At 46.0% G+C, this 13374-nt stretch overlaps 1 protein-coding gene across 16 annotated transcripts in view, besides 1 other annotated feature; it reads left to right on the top strand.

The window, feature by feature from the left end:
- The window catches only part of ADAR (adenosine deaminase RNA specific), a 45941-nt gene that overhangs the window by 27313 nt on the left and 5254 nt on the right, over positions 1 to 13374 (top strand). For 9 of the 16 annotated variants that reach the window (NM_001365046.1, NM_001365045.1, NM_001025107.3 and 6 more), the window contains 9 exons: positions 2100 to 2283; positions 2709 to 2857; positions 3418 to 3562; positions 3690 to 3880; positions 10276 to 10501; positions 10757 to 10928; positions 11223 to 11316; positions 12012 to 12134; positions 12427 to 12560. In NM_001365046.1, the coding sequence (NP_001351975.1) occupies positions 2100 to 2283; positions 2709 to 2857; positions 3418 to 3562; positions 3690 to 3880; positions 10276 to 10501; positions 10757 to 10928; positions 11223 to 11316; positions 12012 to 12134; positions 12427 to 12560 (1418 nt within the window). The remainder of the gene's footprint in view (positions 1 to 2099; positions 2284 to 2708; positions 2858 to 3417; positions 3563 to 3689; positions 3881 to 10275; positions 10502 to 10756; positions 10929 to 11222; positions 11317 to 12011; positions 12135 to 12426; positions 12561 to 13374) is intronic. The other 7 variants (XM_047428340.1, XM_011509061.3, XM_047428386.1 and 4 more) reach the window with 2 other exon arrangements.
- Positions 10786 to 11985: an enhancer, noted in NCBI's record as "CDK7 strongly-dependent group 2 enhancer chr1:154561176-154562375 (GRCh37/hg19 assembly coordinates)". NCBI's record gives its function as "activates an origin of replication core promoter dependent on BRD2, BRD4, P300/CBP, MED14 and CDK7 cofactors, with strong dependence on CDK7, by STARR-seq in HCT116 cells {active_cell/tissue: HCT116}" and the evidence as "EXISTENCE:reporter gene assay evidence [ECO:0000049][PMID:35650434]".

Raw genomic sequence — 13374 nt, 5'->3', positions numbered from 1 at the left:
CTGGCCAACATGGTGAAACCCTGTCTCTACTAAAAATACAAAAATTAGCTGGGCGTGGTGGCGTGCACCTGTAGTCCCAGCTACTCAGGAAGCTGAGACAGGAGAATCACTTGAACCCAGGAGGCAGAGGTTGCAGTGAACTGAGATTGCGCCACTGCACTCCAGCCTGGGCCACAGAGCAAGACTCCATCTCAAAAAAAAAAAAGAAAGAAATGATTGGTCTTGGGGGCCGGGGCGGTGGCTTACGACTGTAATCCCAGCACTTTGGGAGGCCAAGGCAGGCAGATCATGAGGTGAGGAATTCGAGACCAGCCTGGCCAACATGGTGAAACCCCATCTCTACTAAAAATACAAAAATTAGCTGGGGGTGGTGGTGCTTGCCTGTAATCCCAGCTACTCGGGAGGCTGAGGCAGGAGAATCACTTGAACCCAGGAGGTGGAGGTTGTAGTGAGCCGAGATTGGCGCCACTGCACTCCAGCCTGGGCGACAGAGTGAGACTCCATCTTGGAAAAAGAAAGAAAAAAGAAAAACATGATTGATCTCCATGCATCAATATCATGCCTGCCTCCTAAGGCAGAGGTAATGAAGACTTAATTCCCTTCTGTAGGCCTTCCCCTCCTCCCTAAGCCGTTTTCTGAGAGAGGTGCAGGAGCAGGTGGGTTGGGGCAGGCTGCATACACAGTGGGGGTGGGTTGTGCTGCTAAGCAGCAGCAGGTCCACAATCCCCCCTCTGCATAGCTCCTGGGGGGAAAGGATGGAGGAGCGTGTGCACGGCTGCCTGCCTGTTGAAGGTGGTGGTTCTAATTTTATAAACCTCCTCTGCACAGATGGGTAGGCTAGCACTTGCTGCCACTCCTGAGCTGTGAAGTCAGCCTTTACCTCACTCAGATAGCTGGTCAGGCCCTGCACTGTAGGTCCTAATAGGCCAGTGGACAGATTGAGGAAAACAGGAGCTTCTGAAGGGCATAACAGAGAGCAAAACCACTGAAGCTGAGTGGCTGCAGCTGCAGCCAGGGAAAGAGCCAGTAGGATGGGGGAGAATTCCACTGACCTTTATGTTTACCTAGCCTGGTTTCTAGGGGTGTAGATTCCTGGCTAGGGCCCTTATTCCTTGTCTTGACTGTCTTCATGACACCAATTTGGCATTTCAGGAGAGCGGTTAAGAAAAGGAGTTGTGTCTGTCCAAAAGCTGGCAAGGCCAGAGCTGGATTGTTTGGGGTAGAGACTGGATGGCCGTCATTCTCTTTTGCCTCCATCCCTCCTCCCCAGAGTTGGAGGAAAGCAGTGGATTTTGTGGTTAGTCATTCTTTGGACTCACACTAAAAGAAACATTGGTGCCATGTTCAAATATATCAGAAGACCTAGGAAATAAGAAATTTGACCTACTTTTCTAAATGAAATCCCAGACTGAGCAAAGAGCTCACCACATTTGAAAGCTTGAACAAAGGGGGCCTAGGCTAAGTCCAGAGGCCTAGAACAAATGCTTTTTTATTTTCTACATAACAAGGGGAAATTCCTTGTTATGTAGAAAATAGCTGGAGACAAATGGTGCTATAGAGTGACTCATAACAAACTACGGTGATATAGGTCTAGGGACAAAAGCAGGCCACTGATAAGTGGCAGATGCCTGATCCCCCTAGGTAGTGGGGAGTGTGAGACTGGGTTATAAGAAGCCTTCACTATCTTTTAGGACCCTCCCTTGAGGAGGCCAGTCTACCACAATTGCTTTAGAATGAAGGTCTTTTGGTTGCTCACAAGACTATAATGGTAATTTTTGGCTCATCATTTTTGTGTGTGTGGGTTTTATCTTAATTCATTGTTAAAGAGATAGTGGGTTTCCCCTGAGCTAGTTTCCTATCATCTGTGCCTATGTTTGCTTCACTGAGCTATGGGGAAAGAGTCACTGGCTGCTTTGTTTACAAAAAGAAAGGACAGGCTGAGCCTTAAGGAGTAGGAAGGAGTTCCTTGGCCTACCCTTCATCTCCACAAGTGAAAAGCCCCTTAGCGTAGCAGAAAATTCCAGGTTGAAGGTCTCTTTGGAGAAGGCAGAAGGAGTGACCTAGACTCCTGTTCACACATCTAATCACTTTCCGTCAAGATTTAAATTCCAGGTTGTCATCAATGGCCGAGAGTTTCCCCCAGCTGAAGCTGGAAGCAAGAAAGTGGCCAAGCAGGATGCAGCTATGAAAGCCATGACAATTCTGCTAGAGGAAGCCAAAGCCAAGGACAGTGGAAAATCAGAAGAATCATCCCACTATTCCACAGAGAAAGAATCAGAGAAGGTAGGTGTCCTCCTGCCATCTGGGAGGATCAGTTCCCTGTCAGTGTCTGGATTGTAACTGACTCCCTTGAGGCAATCCCAGCCTAAACAACTGACACCATCTCGGAGTCAGCTTCCCACTCTTCCCTCTACCCTATCTCGCCAGCCCACCTTTCCTCCTCTCATACCCAGCTCCTCTGTCTGCTCCTGTCCCAACATAATTGGATTTACAGAATTTCGGACTTGAAAGAGACCTGAAAGTTTATTGAGGCCAATCTCCTCTCTTGGAAGATGCGGAATGAGAGCTCCAGCAGCCCCTTTAACTTTGGGAAGCCAACCCCTTGACAGGTGGTGGGAATAAAGTCCCCCATCCCCATCCCTTCTTCTGTGATGGACTAACCAGTGTTTTCTTAGTTTTGTTTTCTTCTTGTCTCTCATTTTCTCTAGACTGCAGAGTCCCAGACCCCCACCCCTTCAGCCACATCCTTCTTTTCTGGGAAGAGCCCCGTCACCACACTGCTTGAGTGTATGCACAAATTGGGGAACTCCTGCGAATTCCGTCTCCTGTCCAAAGAAGGCCCTGCCCATGAACCCAAGTATGTCCTACGTGTCCTCTGTCCAGCTGAGGTTTTCTCAGAAAGAAAAAGAGACACATTTTCTTCCTTGCCTCCTCAGGGATGGCAGATTGACCAATTTCTCCTGTTTCAAAATGGGGAAAGGAGGGCTCTGAGGTCCTGGTTGCTGCTTGTGAGGCAGACAATTAGGGATTAGGAATTCAAAGGGAATTCCTGGCCCACCCTCTATCTCCTCTATAAGCACTAGGGAGGTTCACGGCTTGGAGGTCACTCACTGTTGGTGGGACAGAAAGGTACAGGACCTGAGAAGCTCTCTGCCTGTGGGTCTATAGACTCACATGTTCAAGAGAAGTGTTCCTGGAAGAGGTGAAACTAGGTTGATGCTTAAATGTTGAAAGGGGTCAGCCAGGCTAAGAGACACTGGCTGTTCAAGGCAGAAGTGACTGCATGAGATGTGACTGCACAGAGGTGATGTGTTCAAGGAAATTACCAGTAGTGGAGGATGGCAGCCTGGCAGAGGCTAGGTCAGGCTCCTCAGTCAAAACCATTTTAATCCTTCTACGTGCTTCATCTCCTGTCAGGTTCCAATACTGTGTTGCAGTGGGAGCCCAAACTTTCCCCAGTGTGAGTGCTCCCAGCAAGAAAGTGGCAAAGCAGATGGCCGCAGAGGAAGCCATGAAGGCCCTGCATGGGGAGGCGACCAACTCCATGGCTTCTGATAACCAGGTAGGGCGTTTTCCTACTCAAAAGATACAGGTCATTTTTAGCAACTGAGTGGTTTAAGATTGCCAGTGACTCCCTCAACATTTCCTGAAGTGTTTATGGCTCCTCTGTTTGATGGATTCTCCTTTAGCCTGAAGGTATGATCTCAGAGTCACTTGATAACTTGGAATCCATGATGCCCAACAAGGTCAGGAAGATTGGCGAGCTCGTGAGATACCTGAACACCAACCCTGTGGGTGGCCTTTTGGAGTACGCCCGCTCCCATGGCTTTGCTGCTGAATTCAAGTTGGTCGACCAGTCCGGACCTCCTCACGAGCCCAAGTGAGTGTCCTAGTCCTGGCTAATGCATGTGTCACCAGTTGGGGATGGTCTGTAACCCAGGGAAAACAAGGGTGTGCTTTAGCTGTGTAGGACAGAAGGGGCGAGTTGAGGGAAACAAGTCCAGCCCTGTCTCCACGGCCTCTTAGAAGACAATAGACCTGCCAAGAGTGAATGCGTTCACTCTTCCAGTAAGCATGATCCTTTTTAATTTTTTGACTAGTTTTAATTTTTAAAGAAATGTATAGGTACATTAAAAAATCATTCAGGCCAGACATGGTGGCTCACGCCTGTAATCCCAGCACTTTGGGAAGTTGAGGCAGGTAGATTACCTGAGGTCGGGAGTTCAAGACCAGCCGGACCATATGAGGAAACCCTGTCTCTACTAAAAATACAAAAATTAGCTGGGCGTGGCAGCGGGTGCCTGTAATCCCAGCTACTCGGGAGGCAGACAGGAGAATTGATTGAAGCTGGGAGGCGGAGGTTGCAGTGAGCTGAGATCGCACCACTGCACTCCAGCCTGAGCAACAGAGCAAGACTCCATCTTGAAAAAAATCATTCAAGCTGATTGAAAAAGTAGTCATTTCAATGAAAAGTCTCATTTCCGTCTCAGACTTCTAGTTTCCCTCCCTAGACCCATATATTACTATAGCCCTGCATTAGCAACTGGGATGCGGTCTGAGAAGCATGGTTTTGTTGTTGTGAGAACATCAGTGTGTATTTACATAAACCTAGATGGCATGGGCTCCTACACACGTACAGGCTGTATGGTATGGCCGGTTGCTCCTAGGCTACAAACCTGTACAGCATGTAACTGTAGTGAATACTGTGGGCAGCTGCAACACACTGGTAAGTATTGGTGTCTATCTAAACAGCAAAAAGATACAGTAAAAAGACAGCATAAAGGATTAAAAAAATACTACACCTGTATAGGGCGCCTGCCATGAATGGAGCTTGCAGGACTAGAAGTTGCTGTGGGTGAGTCAGCCAGTGAGTGGAGAATGAATATGAGGGCCTAGGACATGACTGTACACTAATGTAGGCTTTGTAAACACTGTTCACTTAGGCTAACTACATTTATTTAAAATATTTTTCTTTAATAAATTAACCTTAGCTTACTGTAACTTTTTTACTTTATTTTTACTTTATTTTTTACTTTATTAACTTTTTTATTTTTTGTTCCTTTTGTAATAATACTTAGCTTAAAACACAAACATGTTGTACTGCTATCCAAAAATATTTCCTTTGTTTATATCCTTAATTCTATAGTCTTTTTTCTGTTTGTAAATTTTTTTATTTTTTTAACTTTTTAAACTTTTTTGTTGAAAGCTAAGATGAAAATACATTAGCTGTTAGCCTAGGCCTACACAGGGTCAGGATCCTCAGTATCACTGTCTTCCACCTCCACGTCTTGTCCCACTGTAAGGTGTTCAGGGGCAATAACATGCATGGGGGCCGTCATCTCCTATGGTAACAGTGCTTTCTGGAATACCTGCCTGAGGCTTTTTTTAGTTACTTATTTTTCTAGAAGTAGAAGGAGTATACGCTGAAATAATGATAAAAATATAGTAAACACATAAGGAGCGTGTAGCCTAGATCCCTCGCATTCACAGTTCACAGTCGAGTTCACACTCCTACAAGAATCTCATGCTGCTGCTGATCCCACAGGAGGCGGAGCTCGGACCAGAATGCTTTCTTGCTCGCCACTCACCTCTTCCTGTGTGCCCAGGTTCCTAACAGGTTACAGAGCCCTGCACTTGGTGATAAGAATTTTTCAGCTCCATCATAATCTTACGGGGCCCCTGTCATATGTGTGATTTATCATTGAACAAAACACTGTTATGCAGTACATGACTATACCAGTTTCTTGAGTCCTTCTAGAAATTGCTGTGCATAACTAGCACATTTTCCCTTTTGTCTTTTTAAACAAGTATATCTTCTGTTTTATACGTTGACTCCTTTACTTACCAGACTTCTTGCATAGCTGCATAGTATTTCATTGAATAGAAGCTGACAAATTCAGTTTCTCAGAAGTAAACATTTAATAGGGACTTAGGAACAGAAATGATGTCTTGGGTGGCTGCAAGATGGTGGATCCCTGCACTTACCCTCCAGAAAGTATGCTTTCTATAGAGGCTTTTTTGGTTAAACATGCAGCTGGTCACACATTATACTTTCTTGTGAAACTTATGAGCACTAGCTGGTGGGGAGGCTTGGTAGACATCTTTGTGTGGAATTATTTATGCTACCCAACACTTTGGGATGCGGGAGTCAGATATTGGTGGTCATAGTGGTTTTGCATCAAGATGGCATCACTCTTGCCATGCAACCGGCATGTTTTCTTAATCTCTAAGGTCTATCACAAAGTGGAAAAGCAAGGTGTAAAGTGAGGGGAGAGGTGAAGATTGTCTGTATATGTCTAGAATATTTTCTTGAAGGATCGAAAAAACTGGCAACTGTGTTTGCTTCTGGGGAAGGAGGGACACTTTTATTGTACACTCTTAACTGTTTGAATTTTCACATGTTTGGCATCCAACTTGTCCATTTTAAAGTCATTAAGGAAAAAAGCTTATAAAAATGCTATCTTGTTACTTTAAATTTGTCTCTCCTTAATAGAAGTAATGTCAGCCGGGCGCAGTGGCTTACGCCTATAATCCCAGCACTTTGGGAGGCCGAGGTGGGTGGATCATTTGAGCTCAGTAATTTGAGACCAGCCTGGCCAACATGGTAAAACCCCATCTCTACTAAAAATACAAAAAATAGCTGAGCATGGTGGTATGCCCCTGTATGCCAGCTACTCCGGAGGCTGAGCAGGAGAATTACTTGAACCCAGGAGGCGGAAGTTGCAGTGACCTGAGATTGTGCCACTGCACTCCAGCCTGGGTGATGGAGTGAGACTCCGTCTCAAAAAAAAAAACAAAAAAATCAGAAGTAATGGCATTTCATTTATTCATATTTATGTGTTATTTGCATTTCCTTTTCTGTGAACCACCTGTTCTTGTCCTTTTCCAGTTTTCTTTCAGATTGTTACTCTCATGGATATGTAAGAACTTTTAACATAATTTTTAAAAGTAGCCCTTTGCCCAACATGACCCAATTTAGAACACACATCTGCCCACTGTTTAAGCCATCTGGAAAAGGAGAGGCCCAGTCTCCCTCCAGCTGCTCTTCTACTAATTCATATCCTTCATCTCAATAAGCACCTCCTTATCTTTAAGCACAGTCCTTCAGATGATAGGTTCAGTGCATTTCCTCTTTCTCTTCTGTGAAATCTTCTGTGAAATCCTTTCTAGGACTTCAAGTCAGCCATTCATTGAGAATGTAAGAACTTACTATGAACTAGATGGAAGATACAAAAAATTGCTGCCCCTGAGTGTGTAGCAGACATATAGCCATAGCAGTATTGAAATGTGCCATTGGAGGTGAATGCAGAGTGCTGTGGGGACACAGAGGACACTGCTGCCACTGTCTGCCAGGGAGCTGAGGAAGGTTGCATAGAGAGGGGAAATGCTAATTGAGTAACTACGTTTATTAACTATCTCGTACAATAATATACTTTAGTTGCTTCTTAATGTGAATTATGCTGGGTCTTTTTTTCCTTTCTGTCTACTGTGGCTGGTGACGTTAACTAATTTTATGACTTCTTTTCTGTTTTTTTTTTTTTTTTTTTTTGGAGATGGAGTCTCACTCTGTCACCCAGGCTGGAGTGCAGTGGCGCAGTCTCAGCTCACTGCAACCTCCGCCTCCTGGGTTCAAACAATTCTCTTGCCTCAGCTCCTCGAGTAGCTGGGATTACAGGCATCTGCCACCACATCTGACTATTTTTGTATTTTTAGTAGAGACAGAGTTTCACCATGTTGGCCAGGCTGGTCTTCAACTCCTGACCTCAGATGATCCACCCGCCTCAGCCTCCCAAAGTGCTGGGATTACAGGCATGAACCACCGCGACAGCCATGACCTTTAATATCTAAATGCTGGAGACCACTCAGAGCTCCCGATTCCTCCATCTAGTTGCTTACTTGTCACCTCTGTTTGGATTAACATCCCTAATATGACATGTCCAAAGCAGAACTCTTGGGTTTTGCCCCCTTCGCTTCATTTCCCCCAAGTCTTTCCCAGCTTAGTAAGTGATACCACTGTCTACCCAGTGGCTCAAGTCAGAAACCTGAGGATCATCTTTTCCTCTATCTCCTTTACCTCCTTCGTCAACTCATCCTTAAGTCCTATTGGTTATACTTAGAATTTCTATCCCAAATCCCTTCCTCTTCTTTCCACCTCCAGCGTCAGCACTCTAATCCAAGCCACTGTCTCATCTAGACTGTCACAATAGCCTCCTAACTGATCTTTATACTTTATTTACTCAACACTTATTTATGGAGTATCTTCTATTTTTTTTAGAACAGGAACCAAACATTAACCAATAGTCACCTAAAGAAATGTAAGATCTCATATTTGATAAGTATTCCAAAGGGCTGGAGTTGCAGCGAGAATCAATTATAGCACAGTTTGACTTAGGAAGGAGAGGGGGAAGGGCTTCCCCAAGAAGTACTGCCTGAGCTGAGACTTTAAGGATGATGAAGAGAGAAAGACTGAGGGTTCTAGGCGAAGGACACTGTTAAATCCTGTGGTGGGAGAAGCGCAGAGCTGGCAAAGAGGCTGAGAGGAGGCACTTATGGCAATAGCCCCATTTGGCTAGTGGCTACCATATTGGATAGCACAGCTCTAAAGGATTCTAGTTGCATAATTAACAAACTTTATCATATATGTAAATATATCAGTATAAAACTTTGCACGTAAGAGTTCATATTCTTTTCAAACACATGGGGCAGTCATGAAATTCTCCTGGATCCCTGAGGTAAAGATACTACACAATCTGTCCCTCCTGACCGCCTTCACCATCTTCTTTTCATGCCACTGTCCCTCTCATTCTGAACTTAAGCCCACTGGCCTGCACGGGCCTGCCAGCATGGACAAAGAAAAGAGTGAAGGCATTTAGTTGCTTCGGATCATCAAGGAACAGTGAGAAACTCCATGTGGTTGAACATAAACGTTGATTCCTTTTACTGCCTGAGCTGCTAAGTCTTGAAACTGAAGCCTCTGTTATATGCAGTTAGAGTATCCAAAGCTGGGTTCTCAGCCAGTAGATTAGGATCTGGTTGAAAGCTAGGATTCTTGATGCCTTGTCTGGTACATTTCCAAGCTGTTTTGCTCCACCATGCTCTTCCCTCTGTGTTTGGAAATTACCAGCCGGAGCGGTAGAAGCCACCTCCCTGCTCCACTTGGGCACTTTATTGTCAGCGCAGCTCATGCGCCCAAGATCCATTCCTTACCCCAGAGTTAGCTTAAGCCTGCCAGGAGTCAAAAAAACAACTCCCAGCAAAACCTGGGTCCCTGGCCTAAGGCCGACCTTGACCTAATGACCTCTCCAGGTCAAGTCCCCTTGAGCTAATAGGAAGTAAATGAGGGAATGGAGTTGGGCGCTTTAAAAATCAGACAGTGTATGAAGTAACAGTGACTTGTGGGGAGAAAGGTAGTCCCTTCTGATTTCTGCTTAAGAAGAGAGTCCAAGTTGGTGCTAGCATTTCGTTAAGCCTTCCTCATACTTCATAATCTTCCTTTATAGTAAGGACAGGCTCAGAGCCTTTGCAGGTAACAGTATCTAGTCAGAATTTTATAACATGATTTTATCATATTCTGTTTTACAGCCACCTTCAATATGTGGCAAGTGATACTGGTTTTCCATTTACAGTAGTGAAACAAAGTTTCCTATTTCAGTGTGTTTACATTTTTATCTCTTTTTTCATACCTAGTATTACGGATATTTACATTTTTAGAGTCTGTTTGTTTATTTTAGAGATGGGGATCTTGCTGTCTCGCGCAGGCTGGAGTGCAGTGATATGGTCATAGCTCACTGCAGCCTTGACCTCCAGGGCTCAAGTGATCCTCTCACCCCAGCCTCCCAAGTAGCTGAGACTATAGGCACAGACCACCGTGCCCAGCTAAATTTTTTTTTTTTTTTTTAAGAGACAGGGGTCTCGCTATGTTGCCTGGGGGATTACTATGTTGCCCAGGCTGGTCTTGAACTCCTGGCCTCAAGTGATCTCCCACCTTAGCTCCTCAAGTTGCTGGGATTACAGGTGTGAGCCACAATGGCTGGCTCTAAGAAGTCAATTTAGAGAAAAATATTAATTAATAGTCCAAGTAATACCTGGATGTGGCACAAATCATGTGGTGATTCATGAATGACCAAAATCTAGGAAATGCTGCCTTAGAAACAGCTTCTGTTTGACGGGTCCATATGTTTGCAAGACTGGCCACATCTTCAGCAAAACTAACCCTTCCTTGGAACAATGTCAGGGTCTGGCACTTGTCTTCATTCTCTGTTTCTCATCCCAAAGGTTCGTTTACCAAGCAAAAGTTGGGGGTCGCTGGTTCCCAGCCGTCTGCGCACACAGCAAGAAGCAAGGCAAGCAGGAAGCAGCAGATGCGGCTCTCCGTGTCTTGATTGGGGAGAACGAGAAGGCAGAACGCATGGGTTTCACAGAGGTAACCCCAGTGACAGGGGCCAGTCTCAGAAGAACTATGCTCCTCCTCTCAAGGTCCCCAGAAGCACAGCCAAAGACAGTTAAGACGTCTACTTTTGGTGCCTTTTTTGGGGCGGGGGGGTCCTCCTAACTCCTAAGTGGAGGTGGCTCTTGCTGTCATGCGAGTTATTCCTAGGCTTTACTCTTAGCCTCGAGAGAGCAGTAACTGGGACACTAGATGTAAGAAGGAAAAGATGACTCACACGACAAGTAGAGCTTGATCTCCCTGCCCACGGTGAATATGGTGGACACAGCCTCAGCTTTGTGGTGCTGACACAGCCTCTTTTCCCCACAGCTCCCTCTCACTGGCAGCACCTTCCATGACCAGATAGCCATGCTGAGCCACCGGTGCTTCAACACTCTGACTAACAGCTTCCAGCCCTCCTTGCTCGGCCGCAAGATTCTGGCCGCCATCATTATGAAAAAAGACTCTGAGGACATGGGTGTCGTCGTCAGCTTGGGAACAGGTGAGTGAGGCTCTGAGACATGCCGCCTCCCATGGCGCCTGAAAGCGGGTGCCTCTCATCCTCCCCTGGAGTCCATGCATGTAAGTCCAAGGCAGGGAGAAGAGACTTCATTTTAGCTACAGTCAATTCAGAGTGAGGAATGAGTTCTTAGTTCCTAGAGGAGAGAATATGGGAGTCTAGGATCTGAGAAACTGAGGCTGTTTCTGCCTTGAAGCTTTCAGAACAAATAGCCTTCATCCTGTTTTCCATCGGTTTCCTTCCATTATTCTATTTCTGTTTTAAACACCTTCCTAGGGAATCGCTGTGTGAAAGGAGATTCTCTCAGCCTAAAAGGAGAAACTGTCAATGACTGCCATGCAGAAATAATCTCCCGGAGAGGCTTCATCAGGTGAGCGAGGTCAGAGCTGTGGCCCGGCTGCCCGGCTGTGGAGAGCTCCAGTTCCCTGCCCCACATGGCTCTGACACGGCCTCTGAATCCCCCTCAGACAGACGGGTCATGATGTGGCAGTGGCAGCCTTTGCTTTTCACCCGTCCATTTGAACCTGTCTGATGGAATCCATCCCCTCTGTGAGCTGAGCTGCCTCCCACTGCTCGGCCTGTTTTTAAATGCTGTCCTTTTTTCTGCTAACTCTGCTGCTTCATGTTCTTTTCTAAAAACACAAAATGACCTTTTAGTCCTCAGGGCCTTGAGGATGAGGCAGCTTTCCATTTCCGTTTGAGGACCTACACAACCTTGATGCCCCTGCCAGCTTTCTCCTCTAGCTCACCTTTTCTTTAATTTATGAAGGGAGAGACTTAGAAAGGAGCAACAGCTTCCTGTAGTCCTTGAATCAGTTTGCTCTGCTCTAGAATCCCTGTAGCCGCCATAGCGAGGAGCCCTCAGCAGAAATGAAGGAGACCCAAAAGGCTAACTATGCTTTATGAAATGCTGAGGTCTCCCCTGGAGAATTTCCACCTGATAAACTGTGAAACGTCTGCAACATTGAGACTTTTCCTTACTTTCTCATTTGGAGGTCAGATTATAGAAACAACTGCTTTTCCCAGAATTGAACCTGCCTTCCTAACCAGACTTTCTTTTTGTAGGTTTCTCTACAGTGAGTTAATGAAATACAACTCCCAGACTGCGAAGGATAGTATATTTGAACCTGCTAAGGGAGGAGAAAAGCTCCAAATAAAAAAGACTGTGTCATTCCATCTGTATATCAGGTCTGTACAGTTCCTGTTGCTGCCAGGGTGGGCCCTGCCAGGCTGTTAGAATTGGGTATCCAAATGCTCTCCTGGCCTGTAAATCGAACCTGATACAATAAGCCACACTCCACTGTGGGTTTGAGGTCCATATTCAGGTGTAGATGACTCACATGTACTGCTGTCCACCTCCAGTCTCCCATGGTAGGCCTTAGAAAACATCCCTTGCTTCTGTCACATCTGACTGTTTTGGAGCCCCACGAAATTGCAGATTTCCCACAGGTGAGTTTTAACAGCCACCCCTGTTTTTCAGCACTGCTCCGTGTGGAGATGGCGCCCTCTTTGACAAGTCCTGCAGCGACCGTGCTATGGAAAGCACAGAATCCCGCCACTACCCTGTCTTCGAGAATCCCAAACAAGGAAAGCTCCGCACCAAGGTGGAGAACGGTGAGTGATACATGCCCCCGCCTCCTTTCCTCAAAAGGCTCTGCAAGGTCCAGGGACCCCAAGTCTCTACAAGGCTGCTAGGATTTTACCATTAGTCACTGGGCACAGAGGTGCTGTTTACAGGAAAGGGAAGACCTGGGTCAGGGAGCTGTGTGGTAAGATCAGGGTTCTATTTTGAATGTGTTAGTTTGGGAGATCTGGGAGATCCCCAAGTCAAATAGGAGGTGGGGGTTCCCATGTGGAGCTCAGAGGAGGGAGCTTGGCTGGAAATAGAAATATGGGAGTCATCCCCCTATAGGGTCTTCATGGCCATGAGAATGCATAGGATTACCTCAAGAAAGCGGGGAGGAAATGAAGAGTGCGGCACAACCAAGCCCTGAGGAGTTGACAGATGAGGATGCCAAATGCTGGGGTCCCCTCCTGTCTAGCTGGCAGTTGACTCTGCCTTGTCCACTGGCTCCTTCTCTCCTATCCTCTCCTGTCTCCTTACTGTCTCTTCGCATCCACTCCATTGCGTTCAGGCCACGTCAGCAGTCATCATGGTGGTCCTGAAACCTTGCTAAATACCCTAAAGTATAGACACAGTTACCATGGAGCCGGTGCTCCACTCCTAGGTATATGCTGCAGAGAGATGGAGATCTGTGTCCACACGGAAACTAATATGTGAATGTTCATGGCAGCATTACTCACAAGAGCCAAAAAAGTGGAAACAACCCAGACGTCCATCAGCTGATGGATTCATAAATAAAACATCAAATATATCCATAAATTGAATATTATTTTGGCCATAAAAAGAAGTGAAGTGCTGATACAT

Source organism: Homo sapiens, chromosome 1 (assembly GCF_000001405.40).
Source record: "Homo sapiens chromosome 1, GRCh38.p14 Primary Assembly".
Taxonomy (NCBI): Eukaryota; Metazoa; Chordata; class Mammalia; order Primates; family Hominidae; genus Homo; species Homo sapiens.
Note: the sequence above shows the minus strand (reverse complement) of the source record. Positions and strands in the feature narration are given on the sequence as shown.